General features: G+C 41.9%; 1 protein-coding gene, 1 non-coding gene and 1 pseudogene across 8 annotated transcripts in view, besides 4 other annotated features; all 3 read left to right on the top strand.

Moving 5' to 3' along the window:
* The window catches only part of UBAC2 (UBA domain containing 2), a 185,651-nt gene that overhangs the window by 154,956 nt on the left and 8,539 nt on the right, over positions 1 to 22,156 (top strand). For all 7 annotated transcript variants that reach the window (NR_026644.2, NM_177967.4, XM_011521083.3 and 4 more), the window contains one exon: positions 11,978 to 12,097. Coding sequence is in view for 6 of the 7 variants with exons in the window: in NM_177967.4 (NP_808882.1) it covers positions 11,978 to 12,097 (120 nt within the window). In the remaining variant the exon portion in view is untranslated. The remainder of the gene's footprint in view (positions 1 to 11,977; positions 12,098 to 22,156) is intronic.
* MIR623 (microRNA 623) lies at positions 322 to 419 on the top strand. The gene has a single exon (NR_030353.1). It is a non-coding gene; the product is annotated as a microRNA 623 (primary transcript).
* Positions 349 to 588: an enhancer, noted in NCBI's record as "active region_7934". NCBI's record gives its function as "activates an Ori minimal core promoter by ATAC-STARR-seq in GM12878 lymphoblastoid cells {active_cell/tissue: GM12878}" and the evidence as "EXISTENCE:reporter gene assay evidence [ECO:0000049][PMID:35858748]".
* Positions 10,256 to 10,355: an enhancer, noted in NCBI's record as "active region_7935". NCBI's record gives its function as "activates an Ori minimal core promoter by ATAC-STARR-seq in GM12878 lymphoblastoid cells {active_cell/tissue: GM12878}" and the evidence as "EXISTENCE:reporter gene assay evidence [ECO:0000049][PMID:35858748]".
* Positions 10,684 to 10,773: an enhancer, noted in NCBI's record as "active region_7936". NCBI's record gives its function as "activates an Ori minimal core promoter by ATAC-STARR-seq in GM12878 lymphoblastoid cells {active_cell/tissue: GM12878}" and the evidence as "EXISTENCE:reporter gene assay evidence [ECO:0000049][PMID:35858748]".
* On the top strand, positions 16,364 to 16,877 carry HMGB3P4 (high mobility group box 3 pseudogene 4; annotated as a pseudogene).
* Positions 19,999 to 20,068: an enhancer, noted in NCBI's record as "active region_7937". NCBI's record gives its function as "activates an Ori minimal core promoter by ATAC-STARR-seq in GM12878 lymphoblastoid cells {active_cell/tissue: GM12878}" and the evidence as "EXISTENCE:reporter gene assay evidence [ECO:0000049][PMID:35858748]".

The following is a 22,156-nucleotide window of genomic DNA, read 5'->3' on the forward strand; positions in this document are numbered from 1 at the left end:
GGGGGCCTGGAGGGCAGCGGCGGCACAGACCCACTGGACGCCCTGGTGCATGGCTGAGCCATGTGCATCCCATGGCTCTCTCCAGAGTCCCTTCCCTGCACCTCCAGGGCCTCCCCAGATGGAACTGGCTGGGAGCCGTGCTTTGTTGAAACAAAGGGAAAACCTGTCTCTCTTGGGTTTGCAGCTGCTGTTGAAACCAACTGAACCTGTTTGTAAAATTGTACCTATGTCACAGTAAGATCAGCTGTGCTAGGTATGTCAGGCCTCTGAAAAGAAATGTCATTAAAGTAAACAAGACTTGGGACACATGTCTGTCAGACTGTACACAGTAGAAGCATCCCTTGCAGGGGCTGTTGGGTTGCATCCTAAGCTGTGCTGGAGCTTCCCGATGTACTCTGTAGATGTCTTTGCACCTTCTGTCCTCATTGCCATCCCCAATCAGTCCCTGGAACACCAGCTGTGGCCCTGACCCTTTTAGCCCCTGCATGGAATGCACAGGCAAGGCGTGTGGCCTTTGGGACTCCAGCCGACTAGAGCAAGACAGAGGAAGAAGAGACGGGGCAGAGGGCAGCCGATAGTTGGAAACTTCTGTCCCCTAAGCCAAAAGGTTCTCAAAACTGAGCAACAGGATGTATTGTGTCTCCTGATCGTATTGCCATGGAAACTGCCTTCTGTTCTGCCTAGAAGAAATAGTACTGTTTGAAGTATCTCATCCATCAACACTGGTCACTGTGAGAAACCACAAAGGAAAAGTGAAACCGAGAGCTGCAAAACTAGCCTGGGACTTTGTTCAAGCGATCATCTCCTTTCCCTCTAGTTTATTATTTTTTCCAATACCTACTGAGACTACTGCTAAGCAGCACAGAAAGATACAATACACTGTTTTTATAGCACGACACAAAGATCATGGGTGGCACTTCACATGACAGGGTTAGATTCAGTCTTCTGAGTTTTCTAAGGTTCCTATTTTTAAGACTTTACCAAGGAACCAAGGCTTTCAAATATGCAGCATGGTTTCTTCTGGGCCTCGCGTTGCCCCATCTCTTATCCAAGTGGTGAATGTGTTGCCAGTTTGTGTGTGGTTCTGGTGGTGGGCTTTGTTTGGTTTTCTTTTTTTGGGCTTTGTTTGGTTTTTCCCCAGTTTTGCCACAAAGCTTTTGCTGAGGACAGCAGCCTCTGTGGTGTCTTTTCTCTCTGTATTGTGCTCACTCTTGTAGTCATGCACCACATAACAATATGTTTTGGTCAATGACAGATTGCATGTATGACAGTGGTCTCATAAGATTATGATGCCATATTTTTGCTATGTCTTTTCTATGTTTAGATACACAACTACCATTGTGTTACAGCTGCCTCCAGTATTCAGCACAGTGACTTGCTGTACAGGTTTGTAGCCTGGTCGCCATAGGCTACACCAAGCAGCCTTGGTGTGTAGTAGGCGATCACATCTAGGTTTCTGTAAGTACACAGCAACAAAGTCACCCAACAGCACATTTCTCAGAATGAAGCCCTGTTGTTAAGCGACACGTGACTACAGTTTTAAGTCTAACAAGATGCCTCTCGTTCAGTCCTGAAGTGCTTCTTGTTTAGTTTTTAATGTACGTTTGTTTTGTTATCTCAGCCAAACTCTTTTCAGGGCCATAGGAAATTAGTCATTTCTCTGTGTCACAGCCTCCTTATCTGGCCCCAGGACAGCGCACTACGCATAGAAGGCAAATGAGTAAAACTAAGTGTAAGCATATTCATACTTACACCAAAAGCTGCAGCTTCCACAGAGCACAGGGAATTGCAAATAACTGTCTTCTATGAGGAGCTGCCATTTGTGGTTTCACCAGTTTCCCAGCATTGCTTCTTTGTAACTCCTGGTTCTTGTATTAGAAGAGGATGCTATGTCCATGAAGAATGTAGGTATCAAGCATGTCCTTTGGGAGCCTCCTTGCTTTAACCCCTCTCACCCCTTCCACCCCGCCTTCATTAGTAACCCATCACCTGGGTCTTCATATCCCAACTAACTACAGTCTTGGCTAAGAAAACCCCATACGCCTTAACTCAGCAATATGCCTCACTATGTCTTTGTCCATTCAGTTATCCATTTTGCAACTGTTTCTTGAGTGCTTGCATATGCCAGGTCGTACAGGAGGCCAGGTCTACAAACAGGACAAGATGGAGAATCACAGTCCCCGTGGAGCTAATAGGCTGTTGTGAGATTCAGGCCGGTTAGCCTGCAAGTGAAATGGGATGTGCTGAGAGCTGTCCTGGGGAAGGGATGGTGAGGTGTGAGAGCACGCAGAGGAGTACAGGGTGGTGAGAGCAGGCTCCCCAGCAGGAGTAGAGAATGTGAGGGCGGTGTTGTGAGAAAGTGACTCCAGTGGCAGACAGGAGTCTGGTAAGCCCAGGTAAGAAATTTCTGTCGGATTCTGAAAGCAACAGGGATGCATTGAGTAGCATCAAAGGGGAGGATGTCTGTAGTCATCCGAAAAGGCCCTTAATGTACTCTCCCTTTCTTTTCTAACTGTGTATCTATGTGGCTGGATTTGCTTCATGTACTTCAAAAACCAGAGTAACAGAACAAAATCGAATGCAGAAGCAGATGGGAGAATCCAGCAACCTTCTAGTAAGTCAGACATTAAAGAGATTTGCAAAAATGGAAAACAGTGCCACTCTTCTCAGTAATTCTGTTTGGGAAAACATGGTTATTTTTTATTTCAAAAATCTATATTTATGTTAGCAAGTAATAGGCTTGTGATTGTTAATGAGTTATTAAATATTTTTAAATTAATAAAAGGGCAATGAGGAGCCAGCAAAGGGTTTCTAAGTAGAGGAGGGGCTTGACGAGATTTGTATCTTAGGAACTAACTCTGGAGCCACCCCGGCCATGGACTGTGGTCTCACACGGGGCAGTGAGAGTGAGGGTGGAGACAGTGGCGGGGGAGTTCCAGTGGACAGAGCCTAGAGATCTGGTTTATGCAGTGGATGGATGTGGATGTCACACCCCAAGACAGGGGACACAGCAAGAGATATGGGGTGGGAGATGAGTTTGTTTGGGACGTGTTCTATCTTAGGTGTCTCCTTAACATTTAGATGAAAGTGTGTTCAGGAGACAGTGGGTTACATGGCTCTGAGACACAGTGTTTGGGTTGGAGGTTCGAGTTTGGGAGTCTCTACCCCATGAAGCCCTAGGAATGGATGGGCACCCAGAACACGGAAGAAGGAGAGAAACACTCCCCACATGGAACCTTCAAGAACACCCGTGTCTGAAGGACAGGAGTGGGAGGAGGAGAATCTGAGGACACTGAGAAGGCGTAGCTAGAGGGCTAGAAAGAAAGCGGGATGCCACAAAGCCTGGGGAAGAGAATGTCGAGGAAGAGTGGTCAGTAAGACCTGGTGCTGCCAGAAGGCAGGTCACAGAGCGCTCAGGAGGATCCACTGGATCTAACAAAGGGTGCTTTGATAACCTGGAAGAAAAAGGAAAAAGTGTTTCATTATTAAAATACCAGACTATGAGCTTCTAAAAGGCAGGGAGGTTGTCTTAATTCTCTTTCTACTTTTGTTGCTGAAAGTATTACCAGGTACATTAGTAGATGTGATAATTTTGTGATTTTACATTAACTCATTCAAGTAAAACGATCTAGTCTTTTTCTGCCCTTGATCTCCGTGGTAGGTCATCCCCTTTGTCAGAGACTCCTGTTAAATCAACCTGTTTCCTAAATGTGTAAGTATTTCCTTATGGCCTGGGGTAAAGCTTCCCAGCCACTGTGCCATGGTCATAGATGGGCTGAGATACTGGTCCCCTCCCCGCTTGGGGGCAACTGGAAAGGGCCTGAAGCCACTGGGCCAGCTGTAAACAGTTTTGGCTTTTCCTGTGGACCATGCAAATCTGTCTTTTTCTGTGTGTGCCATGAGGTGGAAAACATTTGAAAGCCTTGGTCCATAGCACACTGAGTAAGTCCTTGTGTGGGCCCTGCCTCGCCTCCCGTGTGCCCAAGCACAGCACCCCTAAAGAGTCACATCGCCCTTCGCTGCCTACCCCATGGTCTCCCCCAGAACCTTCCCTGCATGGTGGCCTGCAGGGGGCCACCGATTGTAGACTGGAGGTGCCCCTGCTGTGTGCTTCACACTTCAAAACCTGGCATGCTGATAAAGGCTTTCTGAGCACCAAAGACTGAGAAGAAAGGGTGCATTTGTTTCCAATGGCCAACAGTCTTAAAATAAGATGAAGATGCTTTTGGAAGTCATTTTGGCTTTTCTAAAACATCGCATTCATAATGCCCCCTCTGTAATTGTTCTCCATTTTACTCTTTTATGGGGCACCAACTTGTACGAGCAGTCAGCTCAGGCTGCAGTGAGCTGAGAGTGGTACTGGCCACCTGGGAAATATGTTCAGGTCTTCCATCCATCACAGCCCTCCAGGATCCTGTAGTCTAGTTGGGAAGACGAGAAACAATACTGTATAAAGTATAAGGCCAAGTAGTAAGGATCAGAATAATCATAGCTAAGCTGCAATAAGCTTATAGATGGCTTTACGTTCTATTTTAAATGTTTCACATGAATTAACTCTTTTGATTCTCATACTCTCCATGTGAGGTGGGTGCAGTTATTATTACCACTTTACAGGTGAGAAAACCAAGGGTCATGGAAATGTTTGAAAATGCATCTAAGGTGTTACAATAAGAGGCAGAGCTGGGATTTGAGCCCAGTTATTCTGGCTCTAGAGACTGTTCTTAACTCAGCTTCCTCTACCTTTTTGTCCCTCTGCCGTTATTCCTTAGCATTGCTTTGCTCCTTGAAGGCGGTATAAACCCACTTAGGCCCCTTTCTTTGAACACCTTGGGGAAAATGCCTTGCTTGCTCTCTTCTCCATCGTTGAAATCATTCTCTTTTAATATTCAGCCCCAGCCCCATCCTCTTGGAAGTCTTACCCCTGTGCTTTGGCCGCAGTGGGTTGATGTCCACTCTGAGCTTTTCTAGTCCTTTTGATTTAGGCCTCACAGCTCCCATCTTAATTATATATCATCTTGCATTGTTCTGGCTTTTCCATTTCTGGGTATCTTGCCTTCCCCCGAGGAGATGGGGCGCTCTTCGGGAGCAAGGATGAGACCGCGTGCCTGGCTCACACTCTCCTGTGGACGCTCGAGTGCCCGAGGTCAGCCACCCGTGAGCTCTTCTGGCTTCTCTAATGTAGACACTGCCTGACCATCCCATCCAGAAACCTTTCAATGCCTGTAGAACATGGATTTCTGTTCCATGGAACTTCTGCTTAATAAAATGTCAGAAACTTTTACTGCTCCTCGGTTGGGAAACCATCATGTATGTATGTATGAATATATATTTATTCATTCATACATGTATATATACACAAGAATTTTTACTTCATTTGAAATCTTCTTACAAACTAATAATAAGTATTTCATAAAACGCCTGTTCAAACTGCAAGCTGTTTCCTTCTTCACTTTTAAAATATGTGGTTATTGCTTTTGAAGAAGACAAAGTAAAGGAAACATTTCCTGTTTATAGAGGCTCATATTTAACCCTACGTAAAGAGCAGATTCATGTCAAAACATCCTAGAACCTAGAGCCGTAACTTTCTGCTTTTTAAGCACTTTTCTACTATCACAGGAGTAGAGGGATTGGGGTTTTGTTTGCTTTGCCTACTCTTTGATTCTCTCACTCTCTTGTAAGAAATGAAATGGAACTCAAAGCCCATTCCCCTTCCACTGTCCTGGAGTGGGTGTGTTGTGTGCCTTTGCATGTTTTTGTATCTTTACTACATACATACTTATCAGGGTTTCTCAACCTAAACACCATTGACATTTTGATCCAGACCATTCTTTGTTATAGCGGCTGCCCTGTACATTGTAGGATGTTTAGCAACATCCCTGACCTCTACCTACTAAATGCCGACAGCACCACCATCCTGTCCCCCCTCCCCTCCTTCACATAACAACCAAAACTGTGAGCAGACATTGCCAAATATCTCCTGGATTGGGGGTAGGAGAACAGAGTCACCATGACCATATATCCATCTAAAAAAGTTAAAATAGACCAGACGCAATGGTGCACATCTATAGTCTCAGCTACTCAGGAGGCTGAGATGGAAGATTGCTTGGGTCCGGGAGTTCAGGACTGCAGTGCGCCATGATTGTGCCTGTGAATAGCCACTGCTCTCCAGTCTGGACAATGTAGCAAGACCCTCATCCCCAAAAAAAGTTAAAATAGTATATATACTCGTGTTCTGAGTATTTTTTAATTTATGTAAATAGTATTACATTTTATTTATATTATTTACATAAACTACATACAATTTATGTAAATGGTATATGTATATGTTGTATATGCATATTCTTGTACAACTTTATTTGTTCATTAAACATTGTATATTTGAGATTTACCCATGTAAATCTAATTCATTTATTGTAGCTGCTTTTATAATGGTCTTTTATATAATAGAACCACTTATTAATTTATTTCCCTCCTTAGGAACAACTGAATTTTTTTCATTTTCTTACTTAATATTACAACCAGTGCTTCACAGAAGATCCTCATACATGACCCCTTCAGCATTCACAGCTCCCTAGAGGTGAAGTTGCCAGGTCATAGACTAGAATAGTTTCACTAGATCTTGACATGTTGCTCTCCAAAAGGGTTGTGTCAGTTTATACTCTCATCAGCAACTTATCAGAGTTCCCATTTCTTTCACATCATTCCCACACTCAGTATTGTTGGGCTGTGTATTTTTGCGAGTCTTGTGGGTATAAAATAACTTGTTTTCATTTGCCTTTCCCTAACACTAGTGAGATTGAATATCTTTTCATATGTTTCTTGACTTGGGATTTCCCCTTCTGTAAATGGAGTATTCATATACATTATCTGCTTTTCTCTTGAGTCACTTATTTTTTTCTCATTGATTTATAAGTGTTGTCTTATAAGTTCATAAGTGTCATTGATTTATTAAGTCTCATTGATTTGTAACTTTTGAATTTTGAGCATATAGCAGTTATATGTTGTAAACATTTTCTCTCAATCTGTAGTTTGTCTTATTTAATTCAGTAACAATTGAACTTTTAATACAAAAGTTCTTACAGGTAAAGTAATTTTTAACCACTTTTTTCATTGTGATTTATACTTCGTATTTCTGTTTTAGATATCCTTTCCTATCCTAATGACATGAAAATAATCTCCTATTTCTTCAAAAAAATTTTCACAGTTTGGCTTTCCACATTTAAATCTTTAATCTTAGTTTTTATTTTTGTGGGTGGTGTGAAGTAAGGGCCTAGTTTTATCTTTTCCCTATCTATAGCCAGTTGTCCCAGGACTGTATTCAGTACGGGCTCATAACCAAGTGCCCATGTTTACTGTTGATTCCTAGACTCTGTCTTCTGTTTGGATTTTTTGCCTAACTTCCACTAATACCACATGACTTTAATTACTGCAGTCTAATAGTAAGTCCTAATAACTGGTAGAGAAATCCTTTCTTATATTTCTTCAAAATAGTCATGCCTAGTTTTGAGCTTTAACTTCAAGTAGTCTAGTCCCACCAAAATATACACATGTGCATACTTTTGAATTTTGAGTATATAGCAGTTAGGGAATAGGAATAATAATAGGAATCTGACTCCACATGACAGATAACACAACATAGCAGAAACTTAACCGAGGTAGTTTATTTCTGTCTTGTATAGAAGTCCAGCAGTGGGCAGCCCAGGCCGGCGGGGCAGTGTCCTGAAGGTGTCAGCCCCCGGCTCTTTGCTGCTGCTGTATCCTCAGCACAGGGCTTCCACCTGATCCTCTAAGAAGGGCGAGCCCCTGCCTCTGAGGATCTTCCTGGTCGGCCCATATTCCCTTTCTGCTGACATACCATTGTCAGAACCTAGTCAACATGGAAAGATACTGAGAAAGGTAGCAAGTCACACGTATATACACACCCAAGAAAACCAAAACTGTTTTTTCCAAAGGGGGAAAATGGATATTGGAAGTGAACCAGCAGTCTGCTAGACTGGAGTTGGCAGTGTCTGGATAGATTATAGGATTACATGTTACCAGGCTCAATTCAGGAACATGCTGAATCTTTCCATTTACTTAGAAATCTTGTAGATCTTTTGTTTGATTTTATTCTTAACTACCTTATATTTTTATTGCTATTTATAAATAGTAATTTTTTGTACTTACATTCTCTAATGATTTCAATAGAGGGAATGTTACTTTTTAATCATACTCTCTTGTTCTCATGCTTTGAGAGACATTTGTAAACACTCTTGGATTTTCTAGGTAGACAGTCATCATTTGAATAATGAGTTTTGTTTCTCTTTTTCTATCTTTATGTGAGATTTTTGTTTGGGTTTGGTTTTTGTTCTCATTATGCTGTGACTTGTGCTGAATGCAAGAATTGGTAATAGGCATTTTTGTCTCTTCATGAATGGGTATTGAATTTTGTCAAATTGTTTTCATACCTATTGAGATGAGCGTTTGATTTTTCTCCTTCAAACTGTTAATGTGTGGATTATGTTGCTAGTTTTTCTAAGATTTTTGAGATAAATCCTAATACAGCACATCATACTAGATAAGAGAATTATTTTGAAAACATTGTTGGATTGAATTTGCTGATATTTTATTTAGGATTATTGTATCTACCCAAGAAAAATTAACTATATATTGTATAATTTTTCTTGCTCATAATGGCCTTGTCTAGTTTTGGAAACAGTGTTATGCTAGTCCCAAAAAATTAGGTGGGAAACTCTCCTTCCTTTTCTGTACTCTAGAGCAGTTTATATAAGATAAGGAGTCATTAAAGATTTCATACACTTCACCTGTAGGTTTTTGGTGGGTAGATTTTTAAGTACTGTTTCAATTACATTAAAGTATGATATATATCCAGAAAAGTACATGCTATATAATAATAGTCATACAAATGTACTTTTTGTGTTTATTTTGTTCAACATCATTTGAGAGATTCAGCCATATTGTTGCATGTCATTCTGGTTCATTCATTCAAACTGCTTTATTAGATTACAGTATGTGAATGCACCATAACTTACCCATTCTATAGTTGATGGGCATTTGGGTAGTTCCCGTCTTTGACTGTTGGAAATAATGCTGCTGAGAACGTTCTAGTCCATGTCTTTTGATGAACATGTGTTTGAATTTCTTTTATTCAGGAGTGGAATTGCTGAGTCTCACATATGGCTCAGCTTAAGTAGATGGTCCTGAACAATTTTAAAAGATAATTACCAATGTCTGTTTTCTCTAGAATAAGTTTTAATAAGTTATACTTTTCTAGAAAGTTGTCTTTCATCAAAGTTATTGGTATGAATAAAGTATTCTTGTGATTTTTTAAAAATCTGCCATTATATCCCTTGTATTATTCTTAATACTGTTTATTTGTGCTCCTTCCTTTGTCTTTTCATCAAGCTTGCCAGGTTTGCCTATTTTATTTGACTTTGTAACAGCCAGCAGTAGGTTTTAGTGACTCCTTCTGTTTCTTTGTTTTCCGTTTTACTGACATTTGCTCTCAACTTTCTACTTTCTTCTTTCTCATTTTTTTAGATTATTGTTACTTTCTCTAACTTCTTAAATTGGGTATAGTTAACCCTTTAATTTTCAGTTTTCTTTTTTTAATTTAATCTCAATATTTAAAAATTACATCAACCACTTTATTACATCCCATAAACTTTGATAGGTAGGTAATAGTTTTATTCATTCTTAGCTATCTTCTAATTTCCATTATGAGGATTTTTTTGGTTTCCAAATGTGTGAGGTTTTTTGTTTTAGTTATTATTTTGATGTTGATTTCTCATTTAATTGCATTATGGTGAGAATATAATCTGTGTAATGTTTATGATTTGGTATTTGTGAATATTTCATATAGGATCTAGTACACAATTACTTTGTAAATACTTTAAATGTAATGGAAAAGAATGTATATTCTCTAAATATTAAATGCAAGGTATATATGTCCATTCAGAAATAAACTTGTTATTTTTTATATTATTTTTTGTCTGGTTGATCTATCAGTTACTGAGTTATATGCTGAAAATTAAATATATGTCTGGATGCTTCCACTTCTCTTGTAATTCTATTAATTTTTGCTTTCTGTGTTTTGATGCCATTGTGTTACATATAAATATGATATTCATGTATTCTATTGATTTTATCCCTAATACTGCCTTTTTTTGCCTTCGAGGTCTATTTATTTGGCATGAATGTAGCAACAACAGCTTTCTTTGATTAGTATTTCTCTGATTTTTTTCCATCTCTTTACATCAACTTGTGTACGTCTTTATATTTTAGATTTATCTTTTGTGGGGAGGAGGTGAGAGGTGAGAGTGGCTTCTGTTTCCCTAATTTTTTTTCACATCTGTTTTTTCTCATAATACCTTATTCTTTTCTTTAAGGTCCTCCTGTGACGTCCTAGTCTTTTTGAAGTGTGTAATCATTTTCAGATCCTCCTATATTCAGGTCCTTGGGGACCCAGTCTCTTGTGTGTTTTGTGTGCCGACTTGCTCATCATGGGTGATTTCCTTGTGGATTTTGTGGTTTTGAATTCTGAGTTTTTCCCCACTGGAGCTTTAACTATAAATCCCATGTAACCCCAAGGCAAGAGAATATCTCTCCAGAGTAATTTTACATTTGCTTTTGCTTGGCTCCTTCGATATCTCCATCCCAAAACCAATCTTTATGTAACTTTTTTGATGGGTTCTGAGACCATGAATATAACAACATATGTATAGTATAACTTGAACCCCAAATTTGCCTGTGGTTCTTAATTCTCAGGCAGGACCAAGATTCCTGCTGTCTCCGGGGGAAGACAGGCTTTTTAGTTTGATTTTTTTTTCATCCCTTTCGCTGAGGGTGCTGCCATTTGAAGATTGTATCTTTAGACAGATAATTGAGCTCAAAATTGCTGCCTCTTTCAGACCCAAGGCCGCATCTTCCGAACTCAAACAGTGATAGAACCCAAGTGGTCCTGGGTGAGCAGGGCCTCTGCTCCCCCGTCTCCCAGGCTGCTCACAGTGTGCGGCTCTGCTTCCCACGCCCACTTGTTCCTGAGGCCTTGCAACTCCACTTACTTCTTTCATATTTAGCTGTGTATAGAAATATTTATCTATTAATAGCATTTTTAGGTGTTTGTAGTAGGAAGAGTTTCAGATCTTAGTCTATAATTTTGTCAGGACTAGAAGACTTCTAGAAATAGAGATTTAAATTAATAAATTCAAAGATTGCCATATAGCTAGAAACATGGATTTTTTTAAAGCAGCATGTGATGCATTTTTCTTCCCATGGTGGCTTCTTTTTTGTTGGTGACATAGACTAAGCCAGGAACGGCATTGCTGTCAGTCTTCAGGATCCGTGGAGCCACCCTCAGAAAGATGGTTACTGATGCTCACTTCTCACCTTTTTGCTGTTTGTCAGATTTCCCTTCACACTCTCTAGCCTGTTGCTGAGGTTTTATCACAGTCTGCAGTCTTCCTCCACTGTGTGCGCTCAGGATTTACTTCAGTCATAAGAAGAAGAAAGGTAGAGCAGGGGAGCATTTTAAGGGCCGTGATGGAAACACCAGATTTCTGGCTGCCCTCAGTGATTTAGCCTCGTCTCCATGCCTTCCTTCCTATCACACCCTGCAAAGCCCTGAGCTCCTAAGAGTTAACTGGAGTTGGGACAGTCAGTGGCGTCACAGTCGGGCTGAAATTAGGAGTGTCTGTACAGTGTCTTTCACTGCCTTCCAGAGCCACAGTGCACAAAGAGCTTTTACACTGCCTATTACTTTCTTTTCTCCTGAGCACCTACTGCAGGCTGCCAATTTTGTGCTATTGACTGAAGGATGTTGTGATACTTTTGAATTTGAATTGCTTGCATAGAGCGGATCAATATGATACTTCCTTCCCAGTCTATAGATGTAACTGCATTGAGAGAAAGCTCTTCCAAGCATTATGATGATTCTGCTCCTTCTGTGTCTGATAACTGTGTGTTGATCTCTTTTTAGGGAGGAATGATCAATTGGAATCGTCTTTTTCCTCCTTTACGTCAGCGACAAAACGTAAACTATCAGGGCGGTCGGCAGTCTGAGCCAGCAGCGCCCCCTCTAGAAGTTTCTGAGGAACAGGTAATTAATCAGTAATACCTGGTACTCATTCTAAATCCATGTTTCAGAGTTGAAGCAGTTTCGATCAACAGGACTCAAAAGTAATCAAGCGTGTAAATACAAAGATGGTGACAGCAGTCCATCTGCCACCATGATAGAGACTTTGGGCTTTTTTTTGGCTATTGTGGTTCTTACGAGTTTAAGGAAGGCATTATTGGTTGGGGGGCGGCGGGTGGGAATGTATTATGGTAGCTTGTTTTAGATGCTCTTACACTTCATATATACAAGAAACTAATGAGATTGGTTCTCTGTGAAGGATCGGGGACAAGGAGGTGGGAGGATGGGGAGGGAGTGTGCCTTTGGCATGGTTTCACTTTTGTATGGTTTTGAGTCATGTTAATGTTTTACATATTCAACAAGCAAACCAAAAGGACAGGGACAAATGTAAAACTGAAAAGAAACAAACAAATGCTCTAACTGCATTTCAAATGAATAACATAATCACATTGAAGGAGGGAAAATGGATTTCAGTAACGTTTGTACCGGATATACCCTCAGTCTAATGAAGAAACAAAAAGAACTGCAAACAAATCTTAAACATTTCTTCAAGGTTTAGTTTTCATAAAGGTATGAGTATAGCAATTCTAAAATTATGCTGTGTGTATTATAGATTTGAGCAAATGAGGAACTCGGTTGATTTTATTGTGGAAGAAGGAAAATAAATATATAAAGCAGGGAAAGGCAAGGGAGAACCCTGTGGGGTTGGAAAGGAATTATCACTATCATCGTAAACTCATGAGAGAGTGTGTGTGTGTGTGTGTGTGTGTGTGTGTGTGTGTGTACACATACCCTCACTCTGACCGAGAGGGCTCAGAAGCAGTGGCCTCCTGGTAGCAGTGGGCTCACCTACTGCCCAGATCTGGTTTCTAAACACTCCTCCCCACTAAAAGGAACCAGGCCTATTTAGGAAAACGGTGGATTCCAGGCCCAGTGTAGGGAACGTACAGGATAGCCCTGGATCATCGTGTGCCAGGAAAGTAAGGAAGTGATCAGTCACTGCTGGGGCCTGTCAGAAGGACACTGGAGCCAGCTGCGGGATCCCACTGGCCACATCTAGGGCATCGGCTTGGGGATCAGAATAAATAAAGGATAGTAAGAATACATGCATTATAATAGTAGATAAATATTTATATAAATACATACACTGGAGGGAAGGAAATGCTTTTCCTAAATGGAATGTCAAGTAATAAATATACAAAGAATGATAGTATCAGAAAATCACAAATTTGCAAGCATCGTAATAAAAATCCATTCAGGGAAAAATGATCAATATATGAAGACTAGGCTATTTATATATAGATGGTCCCTGACCTATAATTGTCGAACTTTAACAATTTTTCAATTTTACAGTGGTGCAAAAGTGATACATACTCAGTAGAAGCCATACATCAAATTTTGAGTTTTGCTCTTTTCCCAGGCCAGCGATACGTGGTACGAGACTCTTTTGCGATGCTGGGCAGCGACTGTGAACCGTTCTGTTTTTCACTTGCAGCACGATACTCAATAATTACATGAGATAGTCAATACTCTAGATTTGTGAGAGATGATTTTGCCCAACTGTAGGGTAATGTTAAGTGTTCTGAGCATCTTTAAGGTAGGCTAGATTAAGCTGTGATATTCAGTAGGTTAAGTGTACTAAATGCATTTCAACTTATGATATTTTCAACGTACAGTGGATTTATTGGGACTTAACTCCATCGTAGGTTGAGGAGCGCTTGTAATCTCAAAGTATCCCTCCACAAGTTACTTACTAATTATAAAGGAAAACCGTAATTCTACAGAAGAGAAATTGGACACCACCTTAACCAGGTTATCAAAATTAACATCACCAATTATGGAACAAAGAATTATTATGTTCATATCCTGAAAAGGACCTATCAGTTATGTCCTTGTAACATATGCAGTTACAATCAACATGCATAACTTTGATCGTAAGGGAAAATAAGATAAACTTAATTTGAGGGACATTCTGTAAAATACCTGGTCTATGTTCTTCAAAAATACGATGTTCCAGATTAAAGGAGACTTGGGAGTCATGCTGCCCAAGTGGAAAATGTGATCCTGGACTGGATTTTGTACTGGAGAAAAAATGTCTGATGAAAGGCCATTTTAGGATCAATTGATGAAATTGGACTATGGATTGGATATTGGTATTATATGAATTTTACATTTCCAGGACTTGGTACATACCGACCGTGGTTAGGAAAGAGAATATTCTTGTTCTTAGAAAATACACACTGAAGTATGAAGGAAAACGGCACCATGATGTGTGCAACCTGCTCTCAAATGGCTTAGGAATAATACCTGTGCATGTCAGTACATAGTGTGTGATTGTGTGTATGTGTGACAGAGACAGAGAGAGAAAGCAGCTATGGCCAAATAACAATTGGTGAATCTGGTTAAGGAGGAATCAAGAGTTCCAGGTACTATTCTAGAAACTTTTCTAAGTTTGAAATTATTTCAAACTACAACCTTTTCAAAATCTATAAAAGAAAGTTAAGAGTGTTGCCATCATAATACTTTGAAGTTTCCCTCTGCCTGTTGTTTTTCCCTTTCAGCAAACAAAACAAATTGAGATCAGCATTTCACAGCTGACCACACCATCCACGCCATCGCCTCCCCATTCCCTGTCCCCAGAGTGAACAAATGCCACGCACCTGCCTCTGTAGCAAAACTTTGTCCTCATTTTTCCCAAAACTCAAAAGGTGCCCCTGGGCAGGGATCTCATAGCCACCCATGGGTAAGGCTGTGACAGGTGTTTTCAAGAGAAACCACTGTCACGTGCCCATTGACTTGATCCAGCCCCTCCCGCTTGCCACTTCTCCACTCAGACTGATGGTTTCAGCAGCTCTTCAGGATTAACAGGTGGAGTATGGAGCCACAGTTTTCCTCTTCTACCTCCACTAGAGAATTTCTAGACAAAGGTTATCCCCATGGATAAGAAAAGCCCAATAACCTGCCATGTGTAAAATCTTCCTATAACATGTTTAAAAAATAAGATACTGCTGTCAAGTTCAGCTGAAAAGAAATATCAAAATTCCGTTATGTTACTGTTTACTTGATACAGCAGTGAGTCACATCCCTCATGGGGCAGCCGTTAAGACGAGGTATTTAAAGGTGATATATTTCTCAGTTTGGGCACTTCAGGAAAAAAAAAGTGTCAAAAAGGGAGTGAAAGGAGTATGTGTGTGATTGAAGTCTTCAGGGTTGTTTTTTTTTTTGTTTAATGAGTCATTTTTCCTTGATCATCCCAGAATGACAACAGCGAGGTTACTTCTTGTCAACATCAGTTTAAAACAGTACTTAATTTCTTCCTCGCTCCGTGTTACGAGAAGTTGTAAAAACATGAGGGGTTGTTTTTAACATACACTTTCTTATACATTGATTTTCTAAATCTTGTTTTTGGTGTTTCTTGATTATCCTGCAAATAGCTGTTATAAACCATTGTTGCCTTAAAGATGCAAGGTTCTTACTGGCATTATTCATTCTGCAGGCTCTTGGTGTTCTTTGCAGTGGGTACTATAGAGATTATAAAAGATAAAAAAGATACTGTTGTTGCCCTCAAGATGCTTACAAAAAAGTTTATAAATTTATATTGTATAATCTCTTGGCCAGTTTGTTTAACCACTGTCTAAAATATTTGTTAATAACATGTTAAGATAACTTGAATTAACAAAAGCTTTTTTTGCTTACTTTTTCAATTAAATGTTTGTATTTTCTTCATTTAAATATCAGAGCCACGTAATTTTAATGCATTAAGAAACTTAGTAATTTTTTAAGCCAAGAAAAATAGAAATTATTATTTGAGTTTTTTCTGCTGTAAACAGATACTTTAGGAATTTAGTGAGAGTTCAAGAAAACCTGGTAGACATGAAATGTATGCCATGTACTTTGAAAGCAGAATATTCTAAGAAGAATGTGCATCCTTTAATAAATCCAATAGTAGTTTGATAGCCATAGAAATCTTTTGCCACCTTTTCTACTTTTGCTATTTTTGCTGTTATTAAGATTCAAGATTTTTAGTTCTTCAGAATCCACTCCCGTTTTTTGGTGAGTAAACCCACGGCACCTCTGCCAATTCATCACCCCTCAGAGATGCCACCCCAGCCCCATTTAAGAATATCCCAAGAAGGAGGCTGCTGTGCAGGCAGGCGGTGGGAGGCTGCAGAGTGCCAAGCCACACAGTGCGCCCTGTGCTGCCTGGCCTGCTAGCTAGACAGTCAGGATGGCAACAGCGATCCCCGGAAACCACAAGGCGAGATGTCTGCTCATGCCTTCCCTGTGCAGACGTGCGGGGAGGAAGATCAGAAGAAAACCCCACAAGTTCCTATCAATTTCACAGAACTTTCCAAGTGCTCTTAGAGTTGAAAGATAATGTCTGGGGAAAGAGAAGTCTAAATCTGATGAAAGGACAAAGGTGGATAAAGTAGGCTGTGGGGGGAAAATGAAGGATGATGGACCAGCTAAGGGAGGCAAGGAGAAGGCCCCTAATGCCCCCCAAAGACCACTGCCTGTTCTGTTCAGGATCCCCAGCATCAAATCCATAGACCCTGGGATTGCTTTTGGAGATGGGTAGACAAGCTTGGTGAGCTGTGGAATCAGTGACCGTGAGAAGCAGCCTTAGGACACCAAGGTGGGGAAGCTGCTGGAGAAAGACAGGTGGCGTCACCGGCTCTGAGTCTAAAGGGAAAATGGGTGGCAAGAAGGTCCTGCCAGGGTTGCCCAGAGAAAGGTAGACAAGAAAGAGGAGGAGGAGGAAGAAGAAGATAAATAGAAACTGTTTGTCAACAACAACAGCAAAAATGCCAAGCCAAAGACCACTTGATAAAACTCCTTCGAGTAATCAAATACGCTCAATGTCTGCTATCTTAGAAATAAGTGTATCCAGGCCGGGCGCGGTGGCCCACACCTGTGATCCCAGCACTTTGGGAGGCTGAGGCGGACGGATCACGAGGTCAGGAGATCGAGACCATCCCGGCTAGCATGGTGAAACCCTGTCCCTACTAAAAAATAAAAAAATAAAAATTAGCCGGGCATGGTGACGGGCGCCTGTAGTCCCACCTACTTGGGAGGCTGAGGACAGGAGAATGGTGTGAACCCGAGAGGCAGAGCTTGCAGTGAGCTGAGATCACGCCACTGCACTCCAGCCTGGGTGACAGAGCAAGACTCTGTCTCAAAATAATAATAATAAGTATATCCATTATTCCATCTCTCTCTTTTTTATTGTTTTTTTTTTTTTTTTTAAACAGGTATCTTTATACTACTATGACCCATACTCAAAATTAACAAATGATTAAATTTTTCTCATATTTGCTTCTGATTTTTTTAAAACCAAAGGGGGAAAAACTCATCAAGTGTATCTCTTCTGACCCTCCCAAAGCTTAGAAAATGACTGTTAGGTAAAATCAGACAAGAAAGTTAAATAAGACTAGACCAAAGCTGGGATTTAACAAAAGGAAGATGAGCAAATTTCAGCTTCCTCTCTTCGATTCATGTCTTTCTTTCCTTTAGCTGACAGTGACCAGCTGTCTGCTCTGCACCGGGGCTAAGCGCTGTGCTGAATTCTGAAAACACTAAGATGGATAAGGCGGAATGTCCTGCCCTGAGGAGCTGTGAGCCCAGGGCAGGGAAACAGGTGGACAAAGAGCTTGTGGAAGTGTTCGGGTGCTGCTGAGGCCAAGAAAGGCCGTCAGGGCAGTGGTGTTGCAGAGGAGGGGCCTGAAGACAAGTACATGGGAGGTGGGGAGCCACGGATGGGTGGGCTGGAGTAGAGGGGACTGGAGGGCCGGGGCACTTCTTGGGATTCTAGAAGCTGGACAGAAAGGAGGCCAGACAGGCTCGCCAAGGGTCTGATGTGTGGCATGTGGTTATACTCTAGACACCAAGGAACCATGCGGGATCTTACACAAGAAACACCATCATTGGGTTTCCCAAGAGGATGGACTGGACACAGAGGAGGGGGCAGGTTATAATCTTATAATTTTCTCTATCCAGGCCCAGGAAACATGGTGCAACTGCCCAGACAAGAGATGTTACCATTTGGTGCATTAATATTAATAATACATTTATAATGCATGTCAAACGACAGAATTACAGCAAATTTAGTGACAGATCTATTTGGCTTTTATTTGCAACTTATGAATTAGTGCAGCCTCCATTCTACAAAACAGAATGTGAGCTCCCGCCAGGCAGTACTGGAACAGTGCATTTTGTAAGAAGGAAACAGAGCAATAGAAAAATAACTGATAGGTTAACATTGAGTTACTTCAGGTTGCTTTTTTTTTAAGGGTTAAAGCAGAGGGGAGTTCCTTATTATGCTGACTTGTGTAGTCTGGGATCTCCTATTTTTAGAAAAAGCAGGTCTTCTTGTTTTGGGATCTGTCTGCTTCCTTAAAGTTTCAATTTGATTGTGTGGCATTTAGCATGAGTGACTCCATTTAGTTTGGTCTTCTGGTTTGTTGGAGCCCAAAACAATGGCGTCCCATAATTTTGGTCAATTCACATGACACGTCGTGTGGATTCTGTTTATGTCTCTGAGATATCCATTAGCCCAAGTAGAGAGAATGGCTTTAAACCCACAAGGTGCTTTCACTCTTAGCTGATAAATAGCAAAATGTATTTAGTATTAGAGAATCTAAATCTTAATGAGGCTGTCTCCTCTCTTCTCATCTCAGGAATCCTTACCACTGTCTCCAGAAAACCCACCGAAACTCCTAAAATGCTCACCTTCTGAAAGCAGGGCTCTAATATTTATTGGTTTTGAGACACATCTCGTGCTTCTGCTCTGAGTAGCCAAGCATGGCAGCACATTGGGTATTGGGTTAGCCTCCCATGGCGTCTGGTCTCCCTGTGGACAGCGAGCTTCCTGAGGGCTGGGGCCATGTCTGCCTTGTTTGCTACCCTATGAAAAGCCTGATACACACAGGTGCCCCAGCATCGGTCGGAGAAGGGTTGAACACGAAGGTGTGGCCAGTAAACTTCCCTTTCAGAACTCTTGTTTTCACATAAAAAATGTGCTAGAGAGTGGTATTATGCCAGGTTTTTCCATTGCTTGCTCTAGTAGATTGGAAATACGTTTTCTAACAAGATCCCAAAGTTAGATGTGTTACAATGAAATACTAGATGGTACTCAAATAGTAACCAACTTTTGTGGGGTGTCTCATTCTGCTGGGTGCTCTGAGAGATGTACACAAAGGAGCTCAGCCAGCCTTAACTAAAGACCTGCTCCATACAAGACCCTGACGAGGCTCTAGACACAGTTGGTCTCAGAGCAGCCCAGAACGCTGGCAGGGTCTGTAATAACCAGAAACCTGAGTTCAACCAAGAGATGTGAAAGGAGGGGGGATCTGCAGTTCTCCCAAGGAAGAGAGTGGTCAGACAGGGAGAGGGGGGTGGGGGCTGCACTGCCTTGCAAGGGTCTCGGCCATGCGTCAGCATGGGGGTGGGCAGCTGGTGCCAACAGGTAACCGGTGCCAGTTGCTATGACAGCAGTGGGCGAGGCAGGCCCAGCACATCTGGGCTCCCCCAACAGGGTGTGCATGCTACCCTGCACCCAGTGTGAGCTCAGGATCGGGTGGGGGCCGTCTTCAGGTGGGCATCGCTTTCTGCAAGCGTCAGAATATGGGAAGTAAAAACCCAAAAAAAACATTTGTTTTTGACGCACTTAGCTAAAAGGGAAGTTAAAGAAAACCACACTCTAGTTTGAATAAACCAAAAGGAGTCTTTCACTGAGGGGAGTTGCTAGAAATCTCATTGGAATGAATGTCCCATTTTACTTATGTCAAAGAGGAGTTGAATTGCAAGTAAAATACCAAAGTGGGATTTCATTTATTTTCTTTTCTCTTTTCCTTTTTCCCTTTTTTTTTTTTTTTTTTTTGAGACATGGTCTTGCTCTGTATCCCAAGCTGGAGTGCAGTGGTGCTATCATGGCTCACCGCAACCTCGACCTCCTGGGTTCAAGCCATCCTCCCAACTCTGCCTCCTGAGTAACTGGGACTACAGGCACATGCCACCAAGCCCAGCTAATTTTTTTTTTTTTTTTTTTTGGTAGAGACAAGGGTTGCCCAGGCTGGCATTTTCTTAAATGAGAATTATCTTGAGGTAGTAGGCACACACATCCCAATCATAGATGTTTAAAAATAAAAAATAAGGAAAGAGAAACTGGTACAGATTTATTTCCATCTCTAGGGTGTTTTCCTCATTCAGTGGGTTCTCTGAAAAGCACATTATTAGGGAATGTATTCCATCTTGCTCTCCTTTGGAACATTGTCAGGTGACAGTGACAGTGCTCTTGTGGCAACGCCTATTTCTGTCATGCTCCCCTGCCTTGGTCAGCCAGCCATGTGGAAGTGTCACACCAGGGCTGGTGAAGGGCTGCTGACGCCTGTGGTTCAGAAGCTCGTGACGAAAGGCAACTGATGGAGTCACACCTTGCTCCACTGGGGCACCCTGGACACCTCCAAGAGGGTCTTCATCCCTGTGGGGGCTCTGGTGGGGCACCCTGGACACCTCCAGAGTGGGTCTTCATCCCCGTGAGGGCGGAGCTGGAGTTTGCCATTGCCACAGCACCAGCTGCACCTTGGTGTCCTCTGAGTAGCCTTATCTCTGCTCCTCACCTCTGGAAGTCAGGTTTCCTGTTACGGAAAGCAGGCTCTGGATGTTACATTTGGGGAATGTTAGTGTCTAGAAATAAGAAATAAGTAGATGTGGAAGACAGGAAAGCAAAGCATGCTGGAGGCGAACCCAACTAGAGCTGGCTTCTCAATGAAGTTAGAGGAAGGAATCATTTCGATTTGGGGGCTAGAAACCAAGCTGCACTCTAATCTGATATTTTGTGGTGAGGATTTTTAGGCAGAAACTTCTTGTGATGCCTGAGCAGGAGGAAGGTACTCGCTGTGCTCTGAGATGGAGAGGGAATGTTGAAAGAACACCTTTTTAGAAAATTTCTTTGAGACATTTTTAAAATTTTCCAGACCAATGAATGACTGCAAGCCCATGAAGCCAACACTGACGAAGTTGCAGTATGCAGCGCCGTGCCTCGCCTCGCCTCGCCTCACCATTGCCTCCACTCACGCCAGAACAAGTGTCTATCCTAGCACAGTCTTTTCCAGAGTCTCAGTGTCCTACCAGCATTCTCATTTTGTCCTCCACATGTTTATTGGTCACTTTTGATCTTCACATTCAGCCTTCTCTAACTGGTGCTGGGCACCGGGTGTGTCAGGCTCTGTGTTGGGGGGAAGCAAGCCAGGCCTGGTGCCAGCCCTCAAGGGAGCTCACCGTCTATGAGGGAGACCAGATCCATGCAAGGCCCTAACCCAGTACCCAACTCATGCAAGTACCTAGTGCCAGTCCTTAGAGCAGAGGAGACCTGTAAACATTCATTCCTGTACTTTAACAACTTGACATCAGGAGATTTTACATTGAAACTTTCTCTTCCTGTGGATGTTAGATCGGATCAGGTGCTCATGGTGAGTTCTGATGCTTCTCATCCCAGTAGCTGGACTACAGAGACAGGAAGCAGCCTGCAGAGAAAATGAAGTAGTCCAGGGTTTCAGTGTGAGTTAATGTGTGTTGTGGCTAAAATGTGGTGCTTTCGATAGGGAGAGAGATGGGCTGACCATCTATAATACCATTATTTATATAGTCATCAGAGTTGTGTATTTGCTAAACTTTATAAATACATAAAGTGTATTTTAGAACAACACAGTCTTTTTGTTAGAATGTTATGCTCACCATTTAAAAAGATTGTTCCTGTCTTTCTGACTTCTTTAGGGCCCACCACACACCTGGCCCCGCTGCCCTCCATAGGAGAATAGTGGTCCTGAGAGGTCATGTTTATTGAGCGCTGGTCATGTGCCCGTCACTGTTCTGGGCTTCTCACATGCATCCCTCTCATCTCCCAAACTGCGAGGAAACAGAGAGTCAGAGCCTGGTCCCCTGCATGTGGTCACACGGGGCCAACTCCAAAGCTCGGGTCTCCCTGCCACCCTGCGCTGGAGTCAGACCTAAGACAGCATGCAG

The sequence above is a fragment of the Homo sapiens genome, chromosome 13, assembly GCF_000001405.40.
Source record: "Homo sapiens chromosome 13, GRCh38.p14 Primary Assembly".
In the NCBI taxonomy this organism is placed as follows: domain Eukaryota; kingdom Metazoa; phylum Chordata; class Mammalia; order Primates; family Hominidae; genus Homo; species Homo sapiens.